At 35.9% G+C, this 27,535-nt stretch overlaps 1 protein-coding gene and 1 pseudogene across 13 annotated transcripts in view; one reads left to right on the top strand and one right to left on the bottom strand.

Moving 5' to 3' along the window:
- The window catches only part of ZNF148 (zinc finger protein 148), a 149,686-nt gene that overhangs the window by 59,860 nt on the left and 62,291 nt on the right, over positions 1–27,535 (top strand). For 8 of the 13 annotated variants that reach the window (NM_001348426.2, NM_001348431.2, NM_001348428.2 and 5 more), the window contains 2 exons: positions 1,839–2,187; positions 27,267–27,392. In NM_001348426.2, coding sequence (NP_001335355.1) covers positions 1,855–2,187; positions 27,267–27,392 — 459 coding nt within the window. In that variant the 5' untranslated portion in view covers positions 1,839–1,854. Of the gene's footprint in view, positions 1–441; positions 559–1,838; positions 2,188–27,266; positions 27,393–27,535 lie in introns of all 13 variants that reach the window. The other 5 variants (NM_001348429.2, NM_001348425.2, NM_001348424.1 and 2 more) reach the window with 2 other exon arrangements.
- Positions 3,998–4,632, bottom strand: DUTP1 (deoxyuridine triphosphatase pseudogene 1; annotated as a pseudogene).

Genomic DNA, 27,535 nt, shown 5'->3' with positions numbered 1-27,535 from the left:
CCTGCTGATCTGCCCGCCTCGGCCTCCCAAAGTGTTGGGATGACAGACGTGAGCCACTGCACCCGGCCAATGTTTTATATATTTAAAACATAAAAATATAGTTATTTTATATATTTAATGGTTGTTTCTAAGTTTTCTTTAGTGATTTGTCTGATAGTGTTCCTGTCAGTTTATTGATCTCTTCTAATTTTTAAGGTATTTTAATATATTAAGGATATGGAGTTTTTGACTGATGTTACAAATACTTTTCACCAGTTGATTCTTAAGGATTTCCAAATAAATGGACAGAATAATGAAATTTTAGCATTAAGAGACTTGTTTCATTTAGTTTTAGTTTGTTTTCTAAGAAATGTGATAAATGAAATTTTTGAAGAGAGCAGCTATTTGGTGATGTATGTAACATCTTTGACCTTTATTTTTATTTGTTTATTTTTGAGACAGGGTCTTATTCTGTCACCTAGGTGGAGTGCAGTAGTACAGTCACAGCTCACTGCAGCCCCAACATCCTGGGCTCAAGCCATCCTCCTGCCTCAGCCTCCCAAGTAGCTGGGACCACAGGTGCGTGCCACCATGCCCAGCTCATTATTGTATTTTTATTTTGTAGAGATGGGGTTTTGCCTTGTTGCCCTAGCTGGTCTCAAACCCCTGGGCTCAAGCGATACGCCCGCCTCGGCCTCCTAGAGTGTTGGAATTACAGGCGTGAGCTACCATACCCAGCAATCTTTGACCTTTAGATTTTAACTTTACTACCTAAAGATTTTGAAAAGTGAAATCAGATGTTTTGTACAGATATACTGTATATATTCTAGGTTGATAATACCTGGTACCAGGGAAGAAAGATTAGCAAGTTATGAATTACACATTTGTGTATTTTGCTGTTTATAAGGTTTTTTTGAGCTGTTCATTTCAGTAAAGTTTTCTCTGTTAATGATAACCTTAGTAAAGGAAAGAGTATTTTGATTTCAGTAGTGTGTTGGAATTTAACTTAGGTATTTGACTGCTGAAAACTATGATCAAAGTTGGTCATTACTTAGGTGATTAATTTGGGAAAGAAGTGACTAAACTGAAATATACTTAACATTTTCGTTATGGTATTGACTACTGTAGTGATTTTCTGTGTCTACCTTTGTTTACATTTTTTATTTCATCAAGATAAATTCCAAAATGTAGAATTCCTTGTTCAAAGAATATGTACATTTTTATAGCTTTTGATACGTTTCATAGCATTTGATACCAAATGGCTTTTGAAAATAGTTGATCTAATACATACTTTTATTATCAGTAGATGAGTGTCTTTTTTTAATACTTCAACATTGGATGTATTTTTTAAGAGTCATTATCAGTTTGGTAGATGAAATATGATAGTGCTGTTTAATGGTAATTTCTTGGATTACTGCTGAGACTCTTTTTTATATGCTTAATGACTATTTCTAAATTTTTAAAAATGATTTGCTTGATGATGTTCTGTCAGTTTATTCCTTACTGAATTCATCTCTATTTTTAACACATTTCAATATATTATTAATATATTAAAGAATATGGATCCCTTGACTGATGTTACAAATACTTTTCCCTAATTTGTTTTTATGTCAGGCTTATTTTTCAATAATAAAGTAGTTAGGATTTGATGCCTTTATATGAAAATGAAAATTTGTGTTTTATTCTACCAGCCTTTGGAAACCGATATTGGTATTATAATTTTAAAATTGGAGGCAGTTCCAAAGTACATCAATAAAATCTTTGTATTTGAATGTTCAAATTCTTAATTTGAAAATTTAAAATGAAGTAGTCATATAAAACTAATTTACTATGTTTTGTTGCCAAACTTGGTTTTCTAGGCAGTTATACTTAAGCATGAACATTGACGACAAACTGGAAGGATTGTTTCTTAAATGTGGCGGCATAGACGAAATGCAGTCTTCCAGGACAATGGTTGTAATGGGTGGAGTGTCTGGCCAGTCTACTGTGTCTGGAGAGCTACAGGATTCAGTACTTCAAGATCGAAGTATGCCTCACCAGGAGATCCTTGCTGCAGATGAAGTGTTACAAGAAAGTGAAATGAGACAACAGGATATGATATCACATGATGAACTCATGGTCCATGAGGAGACAGTGAAAAATGATGAAGAGCAGATGGAAACACATGAAAGACTTCCTCAAGGACTACAGTATGCACTTAATGTCCCTGTAAGTAATTCCTTTATAAGATATTAAACTTAGAAACATAATTTTTTGTTACGTAATACTGCAAGTCATCGAAGAAATTTCAGAAAATGTTTCAGGGCTAAATAGTGTTCTTGAATAGATATACTAAAATATTGACATAAATCATATTTGAAAGGCAAAATTAAGTTCTTGTATTATATTATTTTAGAAGCTTATTTCTTTCAGGATAACAATATTTCTCAGGATTATTTTGGTATTAAATTTTAAATGCTTAATTTTAAAAGATATTTTATCTAACTTCTAGGTTTCTCCTTAAAGAGTAAAACATTTGAATCTTCAACGTAACTAGAAAAATATCACACATTCAAGGGTTTTTCCTACAAATTCTGTAATTCTTGCCTTCTTAAATTTTTCTAATATGCTCCTATTCTCTGTTCTCTTTGTATCCTCCGCTTGCTTGATCTGTTTATCTTTTTAAAGTATATCAGCCCTTTACTCTTTCCTATCTACCTCAGACGTCATTTAAGATGTTTCATAAGCACCCATATGTTTTTCCTTCTTCTACCTTTATTTTTACCCAATAATCAGTGAAACCACAACCATCATGTAAATTCTTGTCTCTTCTTTCTATGATATCAAACCTGGGTTCCTTTCAGTTCATCTAACATGTACTTTTTCTTTTGCTTTAGGACTTTAATATATCCTGCTTGAGATATTACCCTCAGTCATACTTCATACCTGTTTTATAACCTCTAGATAGTGCTCCATCATCATCAGCCTGTCACTTCTCTTGACTCTAGGTTGAGTCCCTGTGATAGGGACTTGTGATTTACTTGTACGATGCTTCTCTGATGGATTGTAGACTCCATAAGGACAGGAGTTTTGTCTTACTTTTCACTGTAGTCCAGGTGTTGGCACATGGTGTGAATGAGCGGATAACTACTTGTAGTTGTGCTCTGATACATACATTCACCAGCTTTACCTAGCCCATTGCAGTAACTTTTTCCTCTTTAGCCTGATGATGTAATGGATTACATTAGTTGATTTTTGAATATGGAAGCAACTTTCATACCTGGAATAAATCCTGCTTGTTTGTGGTATATAGTTCTTTTTAGATGTGGTTGGATTTGATTTGATCATATTTTGAGGATTTTTACATTTGTGTTCATGAGAAATATTAGTCTATAGTTTTCTTGATGTCTTTGTCTGTTTTTGGTATTAGGGTAATGCTGGTCTCATAGAATAAATTAGCAAGTATTCCCTCTGCTTATATCTTCTGGAAGAGATTGTAGAGAACTGATGTAATTTCTTCCTTAAATGTTTGGTAGAATTCACCAGTGAACTGCTTTGGGTCTGGTGCTTTCTGTTTTGGAAAGTTATTGTTGATTTGATTTCTCCTATAAATATAGGTCTCTTCAGATTATCTGATTCTTCTTGTGTGAGTTTTGACAGATTGTGTCTTCCAAGGAATTGGTCTATTTTGATAAAGTTGTCAAATTTGTGGGAACAAAGTTCATAGTATTGTTTTATTATCCTTTTAATGTCCAGGGGTTTATAGTGATGTCCTCTCTTTGATTTCTGATATTAGTAATTTGTGTTTTCTCTTTTTTTCTTTTTTTCTTGTCTTAAGACAGTAATTTAAAAAAATTACTGTCTTAACAATTCCCTTTTTTTTGGTGTATCATTTACTAAGTTAAATTATATAGGGTTTTTTGGGGTCTGTAATTGATGTACATTTGATTTTAAAAAGACACTGTCTTATATCAGGACAAAGCAGATTTACATACAACTATCAGCAGAAAAAATTTCTGTGTGATCTGAACAGAGGTACTCTTTTCTTTGATCATAAGAAAATGCAGTACTTTTAGAAGGTAAAGCTATTAAGATTACAGAAGTTTTACCAAAATGCTTTAAGCAAAAACTCTTTTAAGAAAAAGGTATGAGTTCTCATTTTCTATTCTTAGCATAAATTTTAATACTTTCTAATAGAACCTAACTCTTCTGAATGCCTTTCAGCATCATCCAAAGCTTGAACTTCTATTTCTGGATTAAAAATTCATTCACAAATGAGCTGTGCAATACGATCACTTTTTCTGACTTTAAACTTTTTTTTGCCAAAATTAAACAGTACAGCACCAACATTTCCTCAGTAATCTTCATCTATCAATAAAGTGTTTTGCAGCTAATCCAAACCATGGAGCTACTCTTCTGTAACATCCAGAAGGAAGAGCTATCTGAATGTCCATTTTCCCTAGAGCTTTCTCCATAGGTGGTATTGTATCATCATAGGCACCGTTGAGGTCATAGCCTGTGGCCTGTGTGGATCCCTGAGTCAGGGTTGTGGCCTGCTCAGAGAATGGGGCAAAACGGAGCTGCATGCTGCCTTCCTCTGCAAACCAGCCTGTTTGCTGGGGGTAACGGTGGGTGTCTCTTCAGAGCAGGGCATGGCAGAGTGAAAATGCGAGCAGAGGAGAGAGCAACAATTTTTAAGTGTCCATTTTAGTAGTGCAAACTATATTGACATTGTTGTACAACAGATCTCTAGAACTTTTTCATCTTGCAAAACTGAAACTGAAACTCATGTTCGAACAACTCTGCATTTCCCCCTGCCCAGTGGTAGAGGCTTGCTTATTTTATTGATATTTTCAAAGAAACAGCTTTTGATTTTCTTGATTTTTTTCCCTCTATTTCCTATTTTCAGTTTCATTTATTTCTGCTCTAATTTTTATAATTTTTTTCTGCTTGTTTCGGATTTAATTTGCTCTTCTTTTTCTACTTTCCTAAAGTGGAAGCGTATTCATTTTAGATTTTTTGTTTCTAATATATGCATTCATACTATAAATTTTCCTCTAAGCACTGCATTAGCTACATTGCATAGATTTTGATAGTTGTATTTTTATTTTCATTTAGTTCAATATATTTTAAAATTTCTGTTAAGATTTCTTCTTTGGACTGGGTGTGGTGCCTCACGCCTATAATCTCAGCACTTTGGGAGGCTAAAGTGGCGGATTACTTGAGCTCAGGAGTTTGAGACTAGCTTGGGCAACATGACAAAACCCCATCTCTACTAAAAATACAAAAATTAGCCGGGCATGGTGGCATGCACCTGTAATCCCAGCTATGTGGGAGGCTGAGGCATAAGAATCACTTGAACTCCAGAGGCAGAGGTTGCAGTGAGCCAAGATTGTGCCACTGCACTCCAGCCTGGGTGACAGAGTGAAACTCTGTCTTTAAAAAAAAAAAAAAAAAAAAAAATTCTTTGAACCATTATTGTTTAGAAGTGTGTTGTTTAATATCCAAGTATTTTGAGATATTTTCTAGCTACCATTCTGTTATTAGTTGTAGTTTAATTCTGTTGTGGTCTTAGAGCAGACGCCATATGATTGCTATTCTCTTAAGTTTGTTAGATTGTATTTTATGGCCCAGAATGTTGTCCACCTTGGTGAAATGTTACGTGCGAGCTTGAAAAGAATGTGCATTCTGTTTTTGTTGGATGAGGTAGTCTATAGATTGCAATAGACTGGCATTTTTATTGGACTGACAGTAGCCTGCGCCTTCTCCAGTGTATCTTTCAGATAGTTTCTACAGTGATCTTTCCAAACGAGATGTATACATGTCATTCCCTTACTGAAACTTCCCCAGTGGTTCCTCATTACTAAACAGCTAAAATGTACTTTTTTGCATGGGCGGAAATAGCCGTCATAATCCCGTCCCTTATCCAACTTTTTTTTTTAACTGTAGTTCAGCCCCTTTCGCCACCATTTTATGCTTTAAGCATATCAAATTAATTTAGTTGCCTAGGTCCACTATGGGTTTTTTCTGTTACTTTTGTTCATGTCGTATATGCCTATAATATTATTTATTTGGCAATTTACTGTTACTCATGTTTCACCTTAAAAGATGTCTCTTTCTTGTGATTTTTCATTATGGTAACTATAATAACTTTGCATTTCTTTGCTTGCAAGACTGTCTTGTCATTATATTTTAAGGTATTTTTTTCTGTATCCTGCCTTTAAATTTTGTGTTCTCAATACCTGGGTTATAGTAGGCAATCAGATTTTTTTTGAGTGAAAATATACATTCTGTTTTTAATTGAGGAAAAGTTTAAAGTGAAATGTTCAGATTCTGAGTTTGTAGTTCAGAGTTTTGACAACTGCATAAACTTGTATAATCCATAATCCATCAAGATACCAAATGTTTTAGTAATCCTGGGAAGTTTTTTTGTAATTCTTCCCAGTCAATTCCTCCACAACAGTTGTTCTGATATTTTTTCTTCATAGATTGTCATTGTCCTTGATGAGAACCTCATGTAAATGGAGTTACATGTAACTCTTGTGTCTGGCTGCTTTTGCACAACATGTTTTGGGATTCATCCATGTTGGTTGAATGTATCAACAGTTCATTCTTTTTCCCTATTGATTAATGTTTAGTCATTTTAATTAATATCAAAATTTGTTTATTCATCCTCCTTTTTGTGGTTACTTGTGTTGTCTCTTGCTTTCAATTACTATGAATAAAGTGGTTAGGAAAATTGTTGTACAAGTCTTTTTTCATTTCTCTTGGTACGTGTTTGTGTAAGTCTTATTTCTTGTGGGTTTTCATTGATGGACCTAGTGTCTGTCTTTAAATCAGTGTCACACTGTTTTGATTGCTGTATCTTTTATAGTAAATCTTGAAATCAAATTGTGTATGTCCTCCAATTTTGTTGTTCTTTTGTAATACTGTAGTGACTATGTTAGGTCCTTTGCATTTTCATATAAAGTATGGAATCCACCTTTTAGGTTTTTGTTTTTTTTTTTTTTATAGAAAAGTCAACTGATTCTGATTGAGATTGCATTGATTCTGTATATTGACTTGACTGACAAACCAACATCTAAACAATAATGGCTCCCAGTCCATGAATGTAGTACACCTTTACTTTTATTTAGGTTTTCTTTATTTCAGCATTGTTCTGTAGTTTTCAGTGTAAAGTTATTGGGCACATTTTGTTAATTTTATCCTTAAGTATTTCATGGTTTTGGTTGGATGCTATCATAAATGGTATGTTTTAAAATGTCAAATTCTAATTGTTACTTTCTAGAATATAGAAATGCAGTTGATTCTTTTTATATTGACTATGTATTCTGTGACTTTGTTATCTTTACTGATTAGTTATAGTAGTTATGTTGTAGATTCCTTAGGTTTCTTCACTATTGTATTGTCCATATGTTTTACTTACTTTCCAATCTGTATCTCTTTTATTTCTTTTTCTTATTGCACTGTCTGGGGCCTACAAAACAATGATGAATAGAAGCGATGCAAGTAGACATGTTTGCTTTGTTCCAGATCTTAAGGGGACTGCATTTACTCTTTCATCATTAAGAATTATGTTAGGGGCCGGGTGCAGTGGCTAATGCCTGTAATCTCAGCACTTTAGGGGGCCGAGGCAGGCAAGGGATTGCTTGAGTTAAGAACTTCAAGACCAGCCTGCACAACATGGGGAAACCCCATCTCTGCCAAAAAAAAAAAAAAAAAAAATTATCTGGGCATGGTGGTGTGCACCTGTAGTCTCAGCTGCTTGGGAGGCTGAATTGGGAGGATCACCTGAGTCCAGGAGGCAGAGGTTGCAGTGAGCCAAGATCACACCATTGTACTCCAGCCTGGGTGACAGAGTGAGACTGTTTCAAAAAAAAGAATTAGGTGTAGGTTTTTCATAGATTACTTTTATTAGGTTGAAGTGTTCTTCCTAGTTTGCTGAGACTTTGTTTAAAAAACGTGAGTGGTTTGGGAGGCCGAAGCGGGCGGATCACGAGGTCAGGAGATTGAGACAATCCTGGCTAACAAGGTGAAACCCCGTCTCAACTAAAAAAATACAAAAAATTAGCCGGGCGTGGTAGCAAGCGCCTGTGGTCCCAGCTACTCGGAGGCTGAGGCAGGAGAATGGCGTGAATGCGGGAGGCGGAGCTTGCAGTGAGCTGAGATCGCGCCACTGCACTCCAGCCTGGGCGACAGAGCGAGACTCCGTCTCAAAAAAAAAAAAAACATGAATGGATATTTAACTTCATCAAGTACTTCTTCTGCATCGATTGAAATGATCATATGAATATCCTGTCATTATTCTCTTAATATGGTGAATTATGCTGATTTTCAAATATTAAACAGCTCTTGCGTTCCTGGGATAAATCACACTTGGTCATGATGTATCGTCCTTTTTTCTTGTTGAATTCAGTTTGCTAATTTAAACATTTGTATGTTTATGAGAGATATTAGTCCATGGTTTTCTTTTTTTTTTTTTGGAATAGCTATGTCGTTTTTAGGTATATTGGCCTCATTGTAAATGGGTTAGGAAGTGTTTCCTTCTCTGTTTTCTGAAAGAGTTTGTGTAAGATTGATATTTTTATCATACATATTTGATAGGCTTTACCAGTAAAGCTAATCTAGAGTTGAGTTTTCTTTGTGGGAAGGGTTTTTTGTTGTTCTTTGGAGACAAGGTCTTGCTCTGTTGCCCAGGCTGGAGTGCAGAGTGCAGGGTCACAGTCACAGCTCACTGTAATCTCAACCTCTTAGGCTTAAATGATCCTCCCACCTCAGCTTCCCAAGTAGTTGGGACTATACACACATGTCATCACATCAGGCTAATTAGAAAAAATTTTTTTTGTAGAGACAGGGTCTCACTATGTTGTCCAGACTTGTCTTGAACTCCTGGGCTCAAGTGGCCTCCCACCTCAGCCTGTGGGAAGGTTTTAAATTACAAATTTTATTTAAAAAAACATAAGTAGGCTATTCATACTAAACATTTTTTCTTGAATAAGTTTTGGTAAATTGTGTTTTCTTAATTGTTTAATTGACCAAAGTTCTATTAATATTTTCTTTTGTTGTTTTAAGGATCAATGGTGATTTCTTTTTTCTCATTCCTGATATTGGTATAATAATTTTTCTTTTTCTTAATTAGACTGGGTAGAGATTTACTTGTTTTCATTGTCTGTTCAAATAGTGAAGTTTCGGTTTTATCGATTTTCACTATTCACTTTAACTTTTGTTCATTTTTACTTTTTATTATTTCTTTCTACTACTTTGGTTTTCATTTGCTCTTCTTATCTTAGCTTTTTAAAGTAGAAAGTTTGGTGACTGATTTTAGATATTCATTTTTGACCTAAACATGTGAAGCTCCAAACTTTTTTCTCAGCATAGCTTTTGATATATTTTTTCATTTTAATTCAATTAAAGATACTTCTAACTTCCTTTATTTCTTTTTGATTCATGAGTTAATTAGAAGTGTTTTGCTTAATTTCTGAATATTTTGAAGTTTTCCAGATATCTTTTCATCATTAATATCTAGTAAGTGTGGTTAGAAAATATATGCTGTATGATTTCTGCCCTTTTAAATTTATTGAGACTTGTTTCAGTGCTTGGCATATGATCTGTTTGGTGAGTGTTCTATGTGTACTTGAAAAGAATGTGTATTCTGGCTATTGTTGGTTGGATTATTTTATAAATGTCAGTTAGGTCAAGTTGTTTAGTTGTATTCACTTTTTCTTTTTTTCTTTTTTTTTTTTTTGCCCGTGCTGGTGTGCAGTGGTGTGATCATGGCTTAATGTAGCCTTCACCTCCTGAGCTCAAGTAATCCTCACAACTCAGTCTCCTGAGCTACCTGGTCTACAGGCACACACCACCATGCCAGGCTTATTTTAAAATTTTTTTGTAGAGACAGAGTCTCACTATGTTGCCCAGGCTAGTCTCACACTCCTGGGTTCGAGCGATCCTCCTGCTTTCACCTCCCAAAGTACTGGGATTACAGGTGTGAGCCACAACGCCCGGCCACTAATTGTATTCTTTAACTCTTTTATGTACTCACTGAACTACATGTTCTGTTAGTTACTGGGAGAGAGCTGCTAAAGTCCAGCAGTTAAAGTTTGTTAGCCAAAAGACTCAGTTCAAAATTACATGTTGAATTTAATTGTCATGTTCTTCAGTTTTTGTTAGTCTGGGTTAATTCATCACTTTTGGAATTTATATTTTACATTTATTTAGTAGAATGTCCCTCAGGCCTTACCTGATTTTTTTTCCTCCTTAGGATATTTAAGTTAAGCATCTTTGGCAGGAATATTGTACAAATAATGCTGTGTTTTCTCGCCATTGCATTCTGACAGGCAGCACCTGAGTTTTATTTGCCGTCATTCAGATGATGGTTCACTTTGATCAATTGATACCTTCCAGGCTTTGCTGCTATAAAGTTATTCCTTATCACACTTTATTTATCAATATGGAATTAGGGTTTTTAAAAATTTGCTGGGTTAAAATCTATTACTGTGATTATTTTAATACTCAGTTTGTTTAAGATTTGGCTAACAGAAGCCTTTTCAAGCAGGTTTTATGTTCTTGGACATATCTCGTCAGTCGTTGAGTACTTCTTTGCTTTTTGGCACATTATGTTCTAGGCTTATCTTGTCCTTTTTCTGCTTTAGTTCTGGAGTCAGCCATTTCTCCAAGGACCCCCTAGTTCATTTTAGTGGAGAATGGTATTTAGAAGCCAAGGTCTGGGTGCTGAACATGCTGCTCCTTGCAGTTGGGATATAGCTGCTCCTAGGCCTCTCAATGGACAGAGCTAGAGAATGTATGTATGTATATAATGATGTACATTTACATATAGTGCACATATTCCTTTCTATAATTTCCATATCTATCAATATTGAAAACCATGAGTTCCTACTGCTACCTCCCATTACAAGTCCAGCAGAGTACATTAGACGGTGAGAAACCTGGCTTGTTATCTCAGCATATTTACTTATTTTCTTATTATCCTAACCCCTAATGCAGATGCTCCTAGGCTTGTAAGCCTCACAGGAGTACTTGCTACCCCTGCCCTGCGTGGATACCTTTCTCCTCCTACATGTGCTTTGACAACTTGAACTAGACCTTAGCACCAAGCAGACCCCCTCCTTATGGCACTCTTACTTAGATACATTGCACTGGTCTACATCCACTCTTTGATACTTTCTTCACCCCACTTAGCTTTTGACATGGTGGTCCAGGCTGCCCTTTTCCCACAATCTAGACTCTTCCTTATGCTGCTTGGGCTCCAGCACCTCATGCTGAGCTGCCCCTCTATATGGAGAACCACCTCACCCTGCTTGGTCTTTGACATCTTATATTGGGCCATCCTCCCATGTAGAAGCCCTCTTCCTTCTGTCTGGTATCTGACACCTTGTTTGGCCCCAGCTTATGGCTTTAGACCTGACTGGTTCCTGGAGGATAAGAGGATAGGCAAGAGCAGGAAGGGGAAAAGGACAAAAATCTATCCTTTTACTTAAAAATTTTTTTATTTTAAAATTATATAGATTTATGGAAGGTGGCAAAAATGGTACAGAGAAGACCCCCTCCATCCCTCATCCAATTTCTCCCAGTTGTTACATTTTATATAAATACACTGCAATGTCAAAATCAAGAAATTCACATTGCGACAGTGTATCCCATGTTGAGTACTTTATGCAGCAACCCCTAACCGTTTTTGGCACCAGGGACCAGTTTTGTGGAAGACAGTTTTTCCACGAATGGGGTGGGGGTGGAGATGGTTTCAGGATGATTCAAAAGCATTACATGTATTGTGCACTTTATTTCTATTATTATTATATTATAATATATAATGAAGTAATTATACAACTCACCATAATGTAGAGTCAGTAGGAGCCCTGGGCTTGTTTTCCTGCAACTAGACCATCCCATGTGGGAGTGATGGGAGACAGTGACAGATCATCAATTAGGCATTAGGTTCTCATAAGGAGCAGGGAACCTAGATCCCTTGCATGTGCAGTTCACAATAGGGTTTGAGCTCCTATGAGAATTTAATGCTGTCGGTGACCTAACAGGAGGCAGAGCTCAGGCATTAATGCAAGCAGTGGGGACAGTGTGTAAATACAGATGAAGCTTTGCTTGCTCACTGGCCGCTCACCTCCTGATGTGCAGCCGGGTTCCTAACAGGTCACGGCTTGGTGCTGGTCCACGGCCTGGGAGTTGGGGACCCTTGCAGCATGTGTAGATTTGTGTAACCACCAAAGCAATCAAGATTCAGAACTAAGCCAGGATAACAAAGATCTCTCTGGTGCTACCCCCTATAGTCACACCTCTTCTCTTCCTTCCATCATTCCTAACCCCTGAATATCCTTAATCTGTTGTTTATTTCTAGAACTGTGTCATTTTTGAGAATGTTGTATCAATGGAATCCTACAGGATGTGACCTTTTGGAATTGACTATTTTTTTCACTCAACGTAATGCTCTTGAGAGTCGTCCAGGTTGTTGCATGTATCAGTAATTTCTTACTGTTTGTTTTGTAGTAGTGTTGCATAGCACCAATGTACCGCAGTTTACCATTCACTTATTGAGGGACATTTTAGTTGTCTCCAGGTTTTGGTTATTAAAAATAAAGCTGCTATTAACATTTGTGTGCAGGTTTTTCTGTGAATATAGGTATTCATCTCTAGAATAAATACCCTACCATACCCCTATCACCCAGATACAGTCACTCATAACATTTTAATGTATGTGCTTTATGCTTTTTTGATAAGCATGCCATACATAAGATCATATTGCTTTTTATGTAGTCTTTTCACTTAACAGTATATTTTGAATTTTTCTCAATTGTGTGTTCTTCTAAAACAACTTCAGTGTCTGCTTGATAATTCCATTTTTATGGTAACCCATAATTCAGTCCTTTTATTCCTAATAGATAATGATAAATTTGAGTCCATTCTGAAAATGAATCAATGAAAAGCTGTATTATGCGATATACCAGATGGGCAGAATTTGCAAAGTGTTTGCATAACATTGGTTTATAGTAGAACATAAGAGACATGAGAAATTCTATCCCTTACTTCTTACTTATGGGTTCCTGTTGATAAGGCAGGGAGGTAAAGGGCAGGTCTGGGTTTCATTAATGTACTTTTTTTTTCTTTTCTTTTTTTCTTTTTTTTTTTTGAGACAGGGTCTTGTTCTGTCACCCAGGCTGGAGTGCAGTGGCATGATCATGGTTCATGGCAGACTTGATCTCTTTGGGTCAAGTGATCCTCTCACTGTTGCCTCCAAAGTTGCTGGCACCACAGTTGTGTGCCACCTTGCCTGGCTAATGTTCACAATTTTTTTCAGAGATGGGATCTCAGTATGTTGTCCAGACTGCTCTTGAACTCCTGGGCTCAAGCGATCCTCCCACCTTGGCCTCCCAAAGTGCTGGGATTACTGGTGTGAGCCACCACAACTGGCCATGAATGTACTTTTATTTATTTATTTTTTTGAGATGGAGTCTCGCCCTGTCACCCAGGCTGGAGTGCAGTGGCATGGTCTTGGCTCAGTGCAACCTCCACCTCCTGGGTTCAAGCATTTCTCCCTGCCTCAGCCTCCCAAGTAACTGGGATTCCAGATGCCCGCCACCATGCCTGGCTAATTTTTGTATTTTTAATAGAGACAGTGTTTCACCATGTTGGCCAGGCTGGTCTTGAACTCCTGACCTCAGGTGATCCACCCACCTCGGCCTCCCAGAGTGGTGGGATTATAGGTGTGAGCCACTGCGCCTGGCCGAATGTACATTTTTGAATTGAAGAGAGAACATTGATCTAGAATAGTATGATACAGGTCCCCAAAACTGTAGAAACTTAACAGTCCTTTACTCAAGTGTTTTTCTAGATTGTGCTAAATAAAGCCTTTTAAAAATTGATATTGAGCATGTTAATGATTTTCTTCTTTGATTTGCTCATTCATGTGGAAGGTACAAAGAACTTTATGTTAACTTATTTTGGTTAGTTCAAAGCAAAAAAATGAGTTTTTAGTGTTTTAAAATTATTTAAGTTCTGTAGCCTATGTAAACTCGCTAGTGTTTGGTGACATTTGAAGTATAAGTCATCATGTGTGATAACTGCCAATTTTCAGGATTTATTTTGGCTCTCTAAGTCACTCAGATTTAGCTCAATGGCACTATGTTTTCAACAGCAAAATATAGGCCAGCTGTTTCTTATTTTAATAAATTTTATTAATAGTGATGGGGTCTCGCTGTGTTACCCAGGCTGGTCTCAAACTCCTGGCCTCAAAAGTGATCCTGCTGGGATTACAGGCATGAGCTGCCATACCTGGCCTAGGCCAACTTTTGAACGTCTACATCTTTCTCATTAGAACTTTGTTTTTTAATATTTTAGACATTTAAATTAGATTTTAATAAAATTAATTTTTCAGTTCCTTGGTCACACTAGTCACATTTCAAGTGTTCAGTAGTCACATGTAGCTAATGGCTTCTGTATTGGATAGCATAAAGGATATTTTCATCATTTCAAAATATTTTATTAGATAGCACTATATTAGAAAGCCTCTCAACTCAGAAACAAAATTTATTTCAGCAATTAAAAAAACTATTTGGCTTATCCATTTTACACTTATCAGACCCATTCAGGAGGATTTAGCAAATCATAAATTTTTATGGTCTTTATTTTTTCAGTTTGGTGGCAAGCATGTTAAGAGGAAGGACTTATGTTCTGTATTAGCAAAACAGAGCAAATTGTAATTCACAGTGATGTATGCTGCATTCATCTTCTAGAAAACTATTGCTTTGTATCACTTGAGTGAAAAGATTTTATAAAGTAGGAACTATCTAAAAAATCATGCTCTAGTCACATAATGATGTAATAAAATATGAAATATTTCAGGCATGTGTAATTCCTTAAAAAATGCTTTAGCATTCATGTAACATTGTTAGTCATGAATTTTTGTGCTATAAAGCAGCATGTGTAAAATTGCAGGCATACTGTTACGCATTTTCGTGTTTATGATTAATTCATTTAATGACCCAGGAAACTCAAAACATATTTGGCCATTGGTATAAGACCTCTGTTTTGGTTTTTAGTTTTTAAATTTCCTTGAATCCTATCGTTAGTTATACCCAATTCTTAATTACCATTGCATTTCTTTTAAAGTTTATTTGAGGGATTCAGTAGTAGTTTTGGTTTTTGCACTGGCTGTTGGGTCCTTACCTTTTGAAGTGATTGCATTGTCTTTTATTGGGGATATATGTTTCAAGAGGTGCTTCAAAAAATACATTCAGGCCAGGCATGGTGGCTCTCACCTCTAATCTCAGCACTTTGGGAGGCTGAGGTGGGCACATCATTTGAGGTCAGGAGTTCAAGTCCAGCCTGGCCAACATGGTGAAACCCTGTCTCTACTAAAAATACAAAAATTAGGCAGGCATGGTGGTGGGCGCCTGTAATCCCAGCTACTCAGGAGGCTGAGGCACGAGAATTGCTTGAACCTGGGAGGTGGAGGTTGCAGTGAGCCGAGATGGCACCACTGCCCTCCAGCTTGGGTGACAGAGTGGGACCCTGCCTCAGAAACAACAACAACAAAACAAACATTCAAATCCTTTTTACGTCAGCGTATTATTTGAATATCATTTTCACAAGTAGTTTAATTGAGCTTGTTTTAAGGAGAATAGATGGTAACTAACTTCAACTCTAGTTTTTTCACAAGATTTTACTCTCATACCACATGGCTCTTTAAAAAAGTGTATTATCTAACAGCAATCATTATTTGGGCAGAAAGCATGGACTGAGTGCTATTCCTTTCCTGGTGAGAGTCGTGTTTATTGCTTATTATTAATGATTTCAACTCAACAGGCAAGTAGATGAATCAGATTATCTCTTCCAGTAGATTGTTTTAGGGAGTTGACCCAACATGGTCTATTTTTCAGTATCCTCACTTGTTCTTAAGGTTGTTTGACCCAGTTTATATCCTTTTTTTCCCCCTTAAGTAGACATGAATTGTTGGTAGAAGATTTCTTTATAGATGACTTTATTATTTTTATTTTTAAATTTTTTACAGAGATGGAAACTTGCTAGGTTGCCCAGGCTGGCCTTGAACTCCTGGCTTCAAGCCAGTCTTTTGCCTCAGCCTCTCAAAGTGTTGGGATTACAGGTGTAAGTCACCACAGCCGGTTTCCAGCTGACTTTAATAACATAACCAGTCTCCTAACACTCTTAATATAGTTCTGTCTGACCTTTGATGTCTAATTGCTTCATCTGGAATTGTGAGACAGTGGTACTGAAGGAGAGTTATGCTCTTAAACTAGTAGTACACCAACTGGAAATCATTTAGGACAGGGTATGTAGAGTCAGCCTAGCTACATCAGTTTCAGAGAGGTCTACTTTGGTGTTTTTATATTTGCATTTTATTATAAAAGGACTACATAGTCATTGTAAATATTAAAACAAGGTAGAAGAAATAATAAAGTGAAAAGTAAAATTTCCTTCTTTCCAATGTCTGTCTACTACTCTAATTCCAAAGAAATAGCTACTAATATTGATACCTTTCTGGAAGTTTTACATTTATAAAGAAACATATTGTGTGCATGCATTTATGTCTAATACATTTTGGATATATAATACATACATTTGGCTGGGTGCAGTGGCTCACGCCTGTAATCCCAGCACTTTGGGAGGCCGAGGCGGACGGATCACGAGGTCAGGAGATTGAGACCATCCTGGCTAACATGGTGAAACCCTGTCTCTACTAAAAATACAAAAAAAAATTAGCTGGGCATGGTGGCACGCGCCTGTAGTCCCAGCTACTTGGGAGGCTGAGGCAGGAGAATGGCATGAACCTGGGAGGTGGGGCTTGCAGTGAGCTGAGATCACGCCACTGCACTCCAGCCTGGGCGACAGAGTGAGACTCTGTCTCAAAAAAAAAAAAAAAAAAAAAAAATTTAATATAAATGTACAATATTTTGTTTTATTACATAAATTGGATAATGCTATTTGTATGCATTTGAAATTTACATTATTCATTTAATGACGCATCTTGTGGAGATTTCCATGTTATTGCATGTAAAACTGCCCTATTTTAATGAGTGATTAAAGGATATGCCATAATTTATTTAATCACATTCCTCTGTTGATTGACATTTGTTATTACTGGGTTTGTTTGAATGAAATAATTGGAAAGGAGCATGTGTGTGTGTGTGTGTGTGTGTGTGTATGCACATTTATAACATTGCTCTAGGTATATGTCTTTTTATTGAAATGTAACATTTATACAGAAAAGCGCACAAATCATAAGAGTACATCTTGATTAAATTTCTCTGAAGTGAACATCTCGTGTAACTGCTATCAAGATCAAGATATAGAATCCCTTTTGGTCACAGCACTCCTCTAGTTCCTAAAGATTACTACTACCCCAACACTTTTGTCATAGTCTATTAGTTTTACCTGACTTTGAATTCGAAATAAGCAGAATCATAGGCACTATATACTAGGTATCTGGTTTCTTTATTTTCATTGTTTATGAGATATACCCATGTTATTGCATGTAATTTCTGTAGAATCATCAGTTGGGTGAATTTCATTTATTCTAGTCTAATAGTCATTTAGATTGTTTCTAGATGTTTGGTATTAAGTGCTGCTGTGAATATTCTTGGATGTCACTTGTGTGTGTATGTACTCATTTCTGTTGGTTATATACTTAGAATTGAATTTACTGGATATGCCTATGTTCAGCTTTAGTACATACTGACAGAAGTTTTTTAAATTGGTTTTGCCAATTTATAATAATTGCTCTATATCCTTGCTATTTGATCTTGTCAGTCCTTTTAAGTTTAGCTGTTTTGGTGGTATGATAGTGGAATTGCAATATGACTTAATGTTTCATTTCACTAGTAACTAATGAAATTGATTATCTTTTCATGTTTATTGACAATTTAAATATTATTTTTTAGTAAGGTAGATGTTCATCTTTTGCTTAATTTTCTAGTAGGTTGTTTCTTTCTCTTACAGATTTGTAGTAGTTCTTTATCCACTGGTTGGATGCATGTATTGCAGTGATCATTTCTGACTCTGGTGGGTCTTTTTACTTTTTTGGTAAACAGGAGTTAATAAGGTTCGATTTATTGTATAAGTCTTTTCCTTTTGGTATTTTTTGTGTCCTTCTTAAGAAATTTTTGCCTGTCCCAACATTGTGAAGATATTTTCCTTTTTTAACTTTTGGAGGCTTTATGGTTTTCCGTTCCCATTTAGATCAGTAATCCACTGGGAATTGATTTTTGCTGGTGATGTGAATTGTGGAGATTAAGATTTAGTTGATAGTTCTGGTTTCTTTCTCAAACTTACCCATAGAGATTTCCTTTCACTTTACTTTGCTGGGTTAGTGTTTCAGTTTTTAGAACAACTTAGTATATTAAGATAATAATATTTTTTTTAATTAATGGTAAGGATTTGTGCTAGGACTAGATTTAATATCTTTTTAAGATTGAAAAATGTATAAATTTTAAAACTATAAAGAAAATAAAAATTGTTATAATCTTACTACTTTAGGAAAACTGCTCTTGACATACCATTGCTAACATTTTAATGTTTCTTTTTTTGTTTTTTTTTCTATGTAGGTAGTTGGTGTGTTTGCATAAAATTTGCTGTGTCTATATTTGTGTTTGTATAAAATTGTGAAAATGTATTTATCTACATGCCTATTTATATTTATTACTTTACCTTAAACCATGAGCATTTCATCTTGGTCATTAAAAGTCAGATTTCTAATATTTGTATAATGCCATATAGCTGTATTATAATTTATCTCCCTATTTCTTTATTATTGGGTATTAGACATTTGCACCCTTTTCTTACTGTTATAAATAATACTGTGGTGTTGTATATGTGCTTTTTTGTCATGAGAAAGTATTTCCTCAGTATAGGTCTCTTAAGGCTTTTATTGTATATTGGCCAAATTGTAGTCTACAAAAGATGACCCTCTAGTAGTGTATGAGAGTCCCAACTTAGTATCATTATAAATAATCTAAAGAAGGAAATATGAAGTATAATTTCTAGATTTGTATATTATATTTAGGAAGAACAGCAACAACTGGACTTTGTCCTGGGTGGAAGGTAGAAAAGAAAACTAAAAAATAGCATTGGCTGGGCATGGTGGCTCACGCCTGTAATCCCAGCACTTTGGGAGGCCGAGGCGGGTGGATCTCTTGAGACCAGGAATTTGAGACCAGCTTGGCCAACATGGCCAACCCTGTCTCTACTAAAAATACAAAATAATTAGCTGGGCGTGGTGGTACATGTCTGTAGTCCCAGCTACTCCAAAGGCTGAGGCATGAGAATTGCTTGAACTTGGGAGGCGGAGGTTGCAGTGAGGCGAGATTGCACCACTGCACTCCAGTCTGGGTGATAGAGCGAGACTCTGTCTTAAAAAAAAAAAAAAAGAATCTTTAGATAGGATACTGGGATGATATATTGAAAGGCAGGGAATTTAGAAGGAGGATCTAACGTGAAAGGAAAGATTTTTTTTTTTGGCATATTGAGTTTTAGATATCAAGATGTCTACGTAGAGATATTTTATAGAAATTGCTAATCCTTTGTGTATCCAAGCAGTTACACACCTATTAATTGTATGATAATTAATAACTGTATATTCGTTTAGTGCTTTAAGGTGTTCAAGGTGCTTTTCATGTAATCTCTTTTGATTTTCTGATGTAAGATGGATATTATTACTACTGCCAATTAACAGATGAGTTTATTATGATACTAAGTAGCATCAAGAACTACTTCATACTGCTCTGTACTGTAGTTAGTACTTTACAGAGTTATCTTATTTAACTCTGTAAAAATCCTATGAGATTTTCCCCTCCAGGTTACAGGTGAGCAAAGTTCGGCATGATCCCAATTTTAGTTGTTCAACCTCACACACTGTTAGTATTACTCTTTGAAACTGGATTTTATTTCTTTGAATTCCCAAGCCTGTGCTTTTCTTGTTTTGCCATACTACTTCTGGAAGCCAAGTTCACCTAGCTAATAATTGGAAGAGATAGTATTGAAATCCAAGTCTTCTAATGTTTCATCTAAATATTCTTGGCATTTTGTCTTTTTTTTTTTTTGAGATGGAGTCTCACTCTGTCGCCCAGGCTGGAGTGCAGTGGCACGATCCTGGCTCGCTGCAACCTCTGCCACCTGGGTTCAAGCTATTTTCCTGCCTCAGCCTCCCAAGTAGCTGGGATTACAGGAGTCTGCCACTGTGCCCAGCTAATTTTTGTAGTTTTAGTAGAGACGGGGTTTCACCATCTTGGCCAGCTGGTCTTGAATTTCTGACCTCGTGATCCACCCACCTCGGCCTCCCAAAGTGCTGGGATTACAGGCATGAGCCTCTGTGCCTGGCCAATTTTTTTTTAACATTTTATTTTCCTTTAGTAATAATCACTAGGTGTTCTAAAACCACTAGAAGTTTTTTTCTTATTTTGAAAGCAACCAAACTATAGTTCATATGTGGAAAAATACAGTATGTTTCTATAAAAAGCATTTTTAAATAAGTTTGAATAATTTAGATTTATTGAAAAGCAGTCCTGGACTGAAAGGTATTTGATCTTAAGTCCTAGTTGTACAACTTAATAACTTGGGTAAGACACTTACCTCCCTGAAATTTTAGTTTGTTTATTGGTAACATGAGGATAAGAAAGAATTCACAGATCACAATCATTAGGATCTTAGTCACTGGATTCAGAAGACTTTGGTTTAAATTTTGTCTTTCTGTCTTAATTACTGTGCTTTTAGGCAAGTAACTCAACCTTCCTGGGCCTTAGTTTTCTATTTTTTTAATGAAAATTCTTAACATAGTGTTACTGTAGGATTTAATGCAATAGACTATACAGGCTAGAGACCATGTCTTCCCCATGTATTGTATTAATATCTTCAGCACTTAGGACAGTGCATGGTAGTGAATGTCTGATAAATCTTAGTATATGCTGAGGAGGCAGAATCACAAACTCATAAAAATGCCATGTAAATGCTGAGTATTTTTGTAGTTAGAAAAATCAGAGTCTAGTTTAACTTTTCATTTTGAAATAATTTTATACTTAAAGTTGCAGAAATAGTAGAGTTTGCATGAACTTTTCACACAGCTTCCCCTAATGTTAAAACTTATGTAACCGTATGGTACAGTTGTCAAGACCAAGAATTTAACATTGGTGAAATAGTATTAAACTACAGACCTTGTTTGAATTTTATGTTTCCCTCCAAATACCCTTTTTCTGTTTGAGGATTCAATTCAGGACCCACATTTCATTGAGTTATCCTGTTTTTTTAGCCACCTCCAATCTGTTTCAGTTGAATGCAGACTTTTCCTCATCTTTTATGACCTTTATACTTTGATGAGTGTTGGTCAGTTGTGTTGTAGACTGTTTCTTAATTTGAGCTTCTCTGGTGTTTTCTCATGGTTAGATTGATGCTCTACATTTTTGACTACCCACAGAAGTGATGTTGTGTCCCCCTCAGTGCATCATATCGGGGGCACATAATGTGGATAGGTCTTAAAACTGGTGATAGTAACCTTGATCCTTCTTTACTGTGATTATCTGCCAGGTTTCCCCACTGTAGAGTTACTGTTTTTTTCTTTATAATTGACAGATAATCTTGGAGGAGATACTTTGAGACCGTTTAAATATCCTCTCTCTCAAAATTTTGCCCACTAACTTCAGCATCTATTGGTGGGCCTTGCCTGTAATGGTTATTACCATGATGTTTACCTAATTGTGATTTTTGTCTTTTCCGCATTCCTTCTATATTGATGTTCCTTGTAGCTGTCCCATTTCCTCCATTTATTTGTTGTTTTTACTGTTTCATTTTGTATCTGTGGATATGCATTTTATTCTGTGGGTTATAATCCAGTACTGTTGTTGCTTACGTTCTTGCTCAGATTCCATCTTTGGTCATTAGGAGCTCTTTCAGTCTGGGTCTTATGTCCTTTTGACATCCTCTGATCCTTTTTTGAACACTTTAGCTTCTGACATTATGATTTTCTAGAGTCATCTTATATTTTTCCCCGACCCAGCTCTGGGCTCAACCACTTCTCAGAGAACTCTGGTTCTTTTTTGTTTGGATAATGGCATTTAGAAACTAAGTTCTGGATGCTAGGTGTGTTGGGTGTCGTTGCTTTTCAGTGACCTCAGCAAACAAGCTAGGAAAATACATGTATGTCTACTAACCCACACATGCACACAACATCTATAGTAATTTCTTTATATTGGTAGGGCCCGGGCATCTGTATTAAAAGAGATTGAGTGAAAGAGAGAAAGGGATTGTATAGTTAAGATGTATCTAGATTAGCAGCTCTCAAATGTTCTGGCCGTGGGGTCCCTTTATACTCTTAAAAAATACTGAGGACTCCTCAGAGCTTTTGCTTATGTTGGTTATATGTATCAGTATTTACCATATTCAAAACTAAAGCTGAGAAATTTAAAGTTTTATGTATTAATTTGTCACAATAAAACTTACTACATGTTAGCATGTAACATTTGTAAATAAAAAATAACTGTTTTCCAAAACAAAAAATTTAGTGAGAAGAGGGAAATTGTTTTACATTTTTTTGATATCTCTTTATTATCTGGCTTAATATAACTGGATATAATGCATATCTGTGGTGACATATATTAAGTCTGTGATGATATCACATTTTAATTAGCCTCTGTAAAATGCCACTGTATACTTTTAAGGGAAAGAGAGTTTTAAAAAGCAGCTACTATTGTGAAAGTAGTTTTGATGTCATGAATGACCTGAAAGGGCATAAGGGACCTTCAGGAGTCCCCATGCTATGCTGGCTGTTTCTTGCAAGTTCTAAAACATCTCTTAATTACCCTGACCTTTTTCTCATTTTCAGTCTTTCCTTTTTTATTCTCCCGACTTTAAACATAAAGAGTTAAGAACCACTGATGTAGATTTACTGAAACTGTTACAAAATACAGGCACATATTACTGGAAGGATGGATCCAGAAGAACTGCTATGAAGAAAAGGAGAGAACTTAAATTAGGTGATTTTATGGAACTTGGAAGACTAGAATTTCCAAGTAGGATAGGGATGGTCAGCACTGTTTCAGGTAAGGTAACTTGATTTGATCAGTTCATCTAGTTAATCTTTAATTATGTAAACTATAAGATGCTGATATAGTAACCAGAGTTTACATTTATAGTGAGAAATGTAATAGGGAAATAGATCAGAATGTTTGTTTCCAACTGTGGCTCTCTGAACCTTTTCGAAAATCAAAGGATAGCTGTGGACTTTCCCCTAACAAATGTAGCTCCTTTCAAAATTTTGCATGCGGTCATGGATCAGGCAAACGGGACAGATATAGTTCGTGATTCACACAGGCCTATCCATCAGTGTACTGCTTCACCTCCCTGTCCTGTTCTGTGACTTTGTGAGCTTGGAATTTGAAGTCTTCCTGTTGTCTGGTTACATCAAACTGTTCTTGCAGTTCTATCTTGGAAATATACATGCAAATTAAATTTAAATCTTAAATTTCTCCTTTTCTGGACTCCATGAATACCCCCAAATATTGCTGACATTCGTTAGACAGTACGTTTACAGTACAGTTAATTGTGTTATACCTTTCCTTTTACATTTAAACTAGTTATACTTTTAGTCACCTTGATTTAACTTGGGTGTTTCCTAGGCAATATTTTGGAACAGGTTCCTTCTAGTGATAGTTAAACACATCTTTTTTTATATGGCTGTGTATACTACTTTTACTCTCAGAACAACCATTTCTCTAAATTTGGGCACAGTTATTTTATCTCTGTATGCTGACTACAGATTATTCTTTTAAAATGTTTGGCCAAAAGAAGGAATATAGTAGCTGGAAAAATTTTGGTCCACAAGAACTTACAGGGGAAATTTCAGTGTGCTTTTAAGAAGAGAAGAAGTAGCTAGTAGTGTCAGGGAGACTATAAAATAGATAGTGAAGCAGCAGAGCTATGAAAATGGGTGGGAATGGAATCAGGAGTATAGGGGAAAACAGAAAGACCACCTTCCTTTTACTCTACTGGGTTGGAAGATGAGTGAGAATACCAAAATTTGAAATTGAAAATTGATAGGAACATGTGACTTCAGAAATGGAGAGGAGTGATGGTAAGGTCATATCCTTCTGCCAAGTACCTTAGGTCTTTTCTGTAAAGTGGATCATATAGAATTTTGAAAGCTGAGCTGGGGAGCTGATAATGAATACTATAGGCAACAGTCTGTTGCCAATTCCTCACTGAGGAAATGTTAAGGAAATAGTTTTATATTCATTTATTTGTAGAAGAATACATTGGGAGATGATAATGCTCTAAGTCAGTGAGGTTGGTATGGTTAATTGGAGGGAAGTGGATGTCACTGGGTATGGGTGCAGGATGTTGAGAATGAAGAGAAGAGTCTAAAATGATTCCAAGGAGTCAGTCATCTTGTTTGGAAGGTGGGGAGAGGGGGTAGACCAAAATTTGCAACTGTAGTGAAACATTTATTCATCACATTGTGTCTGGCAACATTATTTTAGGTACAATTTATATTTGTTACATCGCTTATTATCATTATTGAGACTAGGTGAAGTTAAGAAGAGTAGCAGATTTGCAAGAAAAAGTTAAAAGGGGGGATATATGTGCTAAACTTGCAGCTGTCATTGTCTGTTGTTTCATCCCCAAAGCCTGATGCAGTTATTTCACGTTGTCTTTATTTCTCCCTTTGAATTTCTACCCTTATTCTCTGTTCTGTTCAGTTAGAGTATGACACATGTGCTGTCTGTATTAGGTGTTTTTTTGGTAATGCATCAGAACCCTGCACGTACATTTTAAGACCTTTGAAAAGGAAATCTGATATTTAGAATGTGCTTAGTATCTAGAATGGCACTTTGCACATATTACAATCTCAGTAAATGTTTTTGTTATAGTATTTTAGCCTGACAGAGCAGGCACTTAATAGCTGTTGAATGAGAAAATGAATGACAGCTATTATAAGAAATACCAACAAAGAGTATCTTACTTTAAAATATCAAAACAGTATACATGTACATGAAATAGTTAAATATAAAAGTAAGACTTTATTTTGGGGTGAGAAATAAGTCTTGATAAAGCAAGTCATTCTGGAGTTGAGTTAATGATTAGAATCAAAGGAAGAATATTTTCAGTATAGGGAGGACTCTTTAAAGTCAGGAAAATAAAGAGGGAAAGATTGAAAATGAGAAAAAGGGTAATTAAGAGATATTTTAGAACTTGCAAGAAAGAACCGGCATAGGGAGTGGCAAGAGGAGAGGAAGCATGACACTATAGGTCTCTACTTCTGTCTTAACCTGGGGAAGAAGTTAGATGAGTATAGAAGGGAGATATGAAAAGGAAATCATGTCTGACCGCTTCTGTAGTATCAAAGTGGGAAGCCCAGAGGGAGACTGACTCAGTGGATGAGCAGGGGCTTTAGAGTTTTAGGAGAAATGTCTGAGTTTAGTCAAATCTGAAGAAAGAAGGGCAGGTAGAGTGGTGGTGGATGGTGGTGGTGGTGGCATATCTGGACTGGTAATAAGAACAGCATTGAAATTCAGGCCTGCAAATAAGCATGAGGGTACTAATGGGACTAGGTGAAAATCACAGTATTAATATAATCACTTTCCATATATGTGGAAATAACAGGTTCAGATATACGTGTTAATCTTTTTTACTGTTTGCATTTAAAGGCTCTTGGTTGGTTTGTGAATGGCAGTTAACAGCAGAACTTATTTATGAATTTATCTTACACTCTTCTTGACACTTGCTAAAAAGAGTTCCTCTTTTTTGTTGCCACATGCTACATTTCCATGGTTTATTTGGAATTTACACGCTGACAGAAATGTTTGTACTACTTTTTGGTACTCCTTCAAAATAGGGCAGAGAAATTCCACAGCTGCTTACATAGTCTGTTATCTCTTCTTGTCTCATACCCATTCCCAGTTATTGTTTTTCAGTAAATACCACTTCAGAGGTGATAAGAGGTCTGTATTCCCAAGTCTTGTAGGTGGTGATTTTACCATCGTATTTTGTAGTCAAAATAATTGATACCAACGAAGCCAGAAGAGTGGTCACTGTACCCTTCTGTAACTTGGTAGAATTACTAGCTAAATAAATAATCATTTACATCATGTTTTTGTGCCAGGGTTCTTGATTTGTGATTCTCACATGGCCTGCATTTCAGGAATTCATGAGAACTTCCACTTTTTATTTTGTCAGTATGAAATTCCTGGCTTAGGTTGCATTTTTTCTCGTGAACCTCTTCTACATAGCTGTTTTCCACCTTTACACTGAATCTGTAAGATGTTCATCATCTTTTGCACCATGCTTTTTAGTGTGTTTCTTGAAAATGTAGCCATTAGCACATTGTACTTACTGAATTATTCTCAAGGATCTTTACTGTATTTTATAGCCTGAGTTGAAAGTTTCCTAGTTTTAAGGTTCTTGTTTTACTTCAAGGATAGATTGAAAATGTAGCAGTGAGGAGGGGATGACTGAACACCATCAAATCTGATGAGAACTGACGATGGTACTGTTAGTGATCTTAGAACCTTGGTTTTTCTTTTCTTTCTTTAAGGACAAGTAACTCTGAGAATTAAGATCTGAAAATTGAAGAACATTGTTGAAATCTTAATGTTTCTTCTAGTATTTCTCTATTATGTAGTTAGCATCATGTCTTGTACAGTGTAGCAGCCTAAAATTATAATTGCTTCTATAAACACATATTTGGTGATGGTCTGTTGTAGAGCCCAGGAAAGTACTGGCTGAGATCTTGAGTCATATGACAAAACTGTTGAGCATGAAGATAATTAGATTTTCATTGTTAATTTGTCTTTCTTTTGACAAATTATCTTTTAGAATTTGTGTGGTTTACTTGATATTTTATAAATACAGAGCCCATCTAGAAGTCTAAATACCTCTTTTATTCCCTAGTATTGTGTTGAATTTTGGACCTTAACCTTTTTTGTGCGCTTTTAACTTCAGTATCAGTTTCCTTAAATGTGGGAATGAAATTGATGTTACGATTTCCTGACTTCTGCTTGGTCTTATGATCATCTTTTCCCAGGACGTCTTTGATCTTTTTTCTCAGGTAGATTAAAAAAAAAATCTGTTTATCCCTCAATTTATGTACTCTCAATTCTTATTACCCACTGCCTATTAATGAATTCTATAGCACTGTATATAGTTAGGACACACACACATAGATCATCATTCTGGAAGCACCTGTATGTGGGTTTAGCAAAGGATTAAACATAAAATGGCCTTTTGTCACAATGAACTTTTTATTTATGTCTAAAATTGGCTTTTCTTTTTTTAAACAGATAAGCGTAAAGCAGGAAATTACTTTTACTGATGTATCTGAGCAACTGATGAGAGACAAAAAACAAATCAGAGAGCCAGTAGACTTACAGAAAAAGAAGAAGCGGAAACAACGTTCTCCCGCAAAAGTAAGACAATGTATTAAGGTGGTAATCACAACCTCTTAATTCCAACTGTTGGTTAATTCTATAGGCAAGAACCTGGCTGGACCCTAAGGCAGATGTAGAAGTCTTGTGTGGTTTAGTAGGAGGGGGTGCGTGCCTGCATGGAG

Source organism: Homo sapiens, chromosome 3, assembly GCF_000001405.40.
Source record: "Homo sapiens chromosome 3, GRCh38.p14 Primary Assembly".
Lineage (NCBI taxonomy): Eukaryota > Metazoa > Chordata > Mammalia > Primates > Hominidae > Homo > Homo sapiens.
Note: the sequence above shows the minus strand (reverse complement) of the source record. Positions and strands in the feature narration are given on the sequence as shown.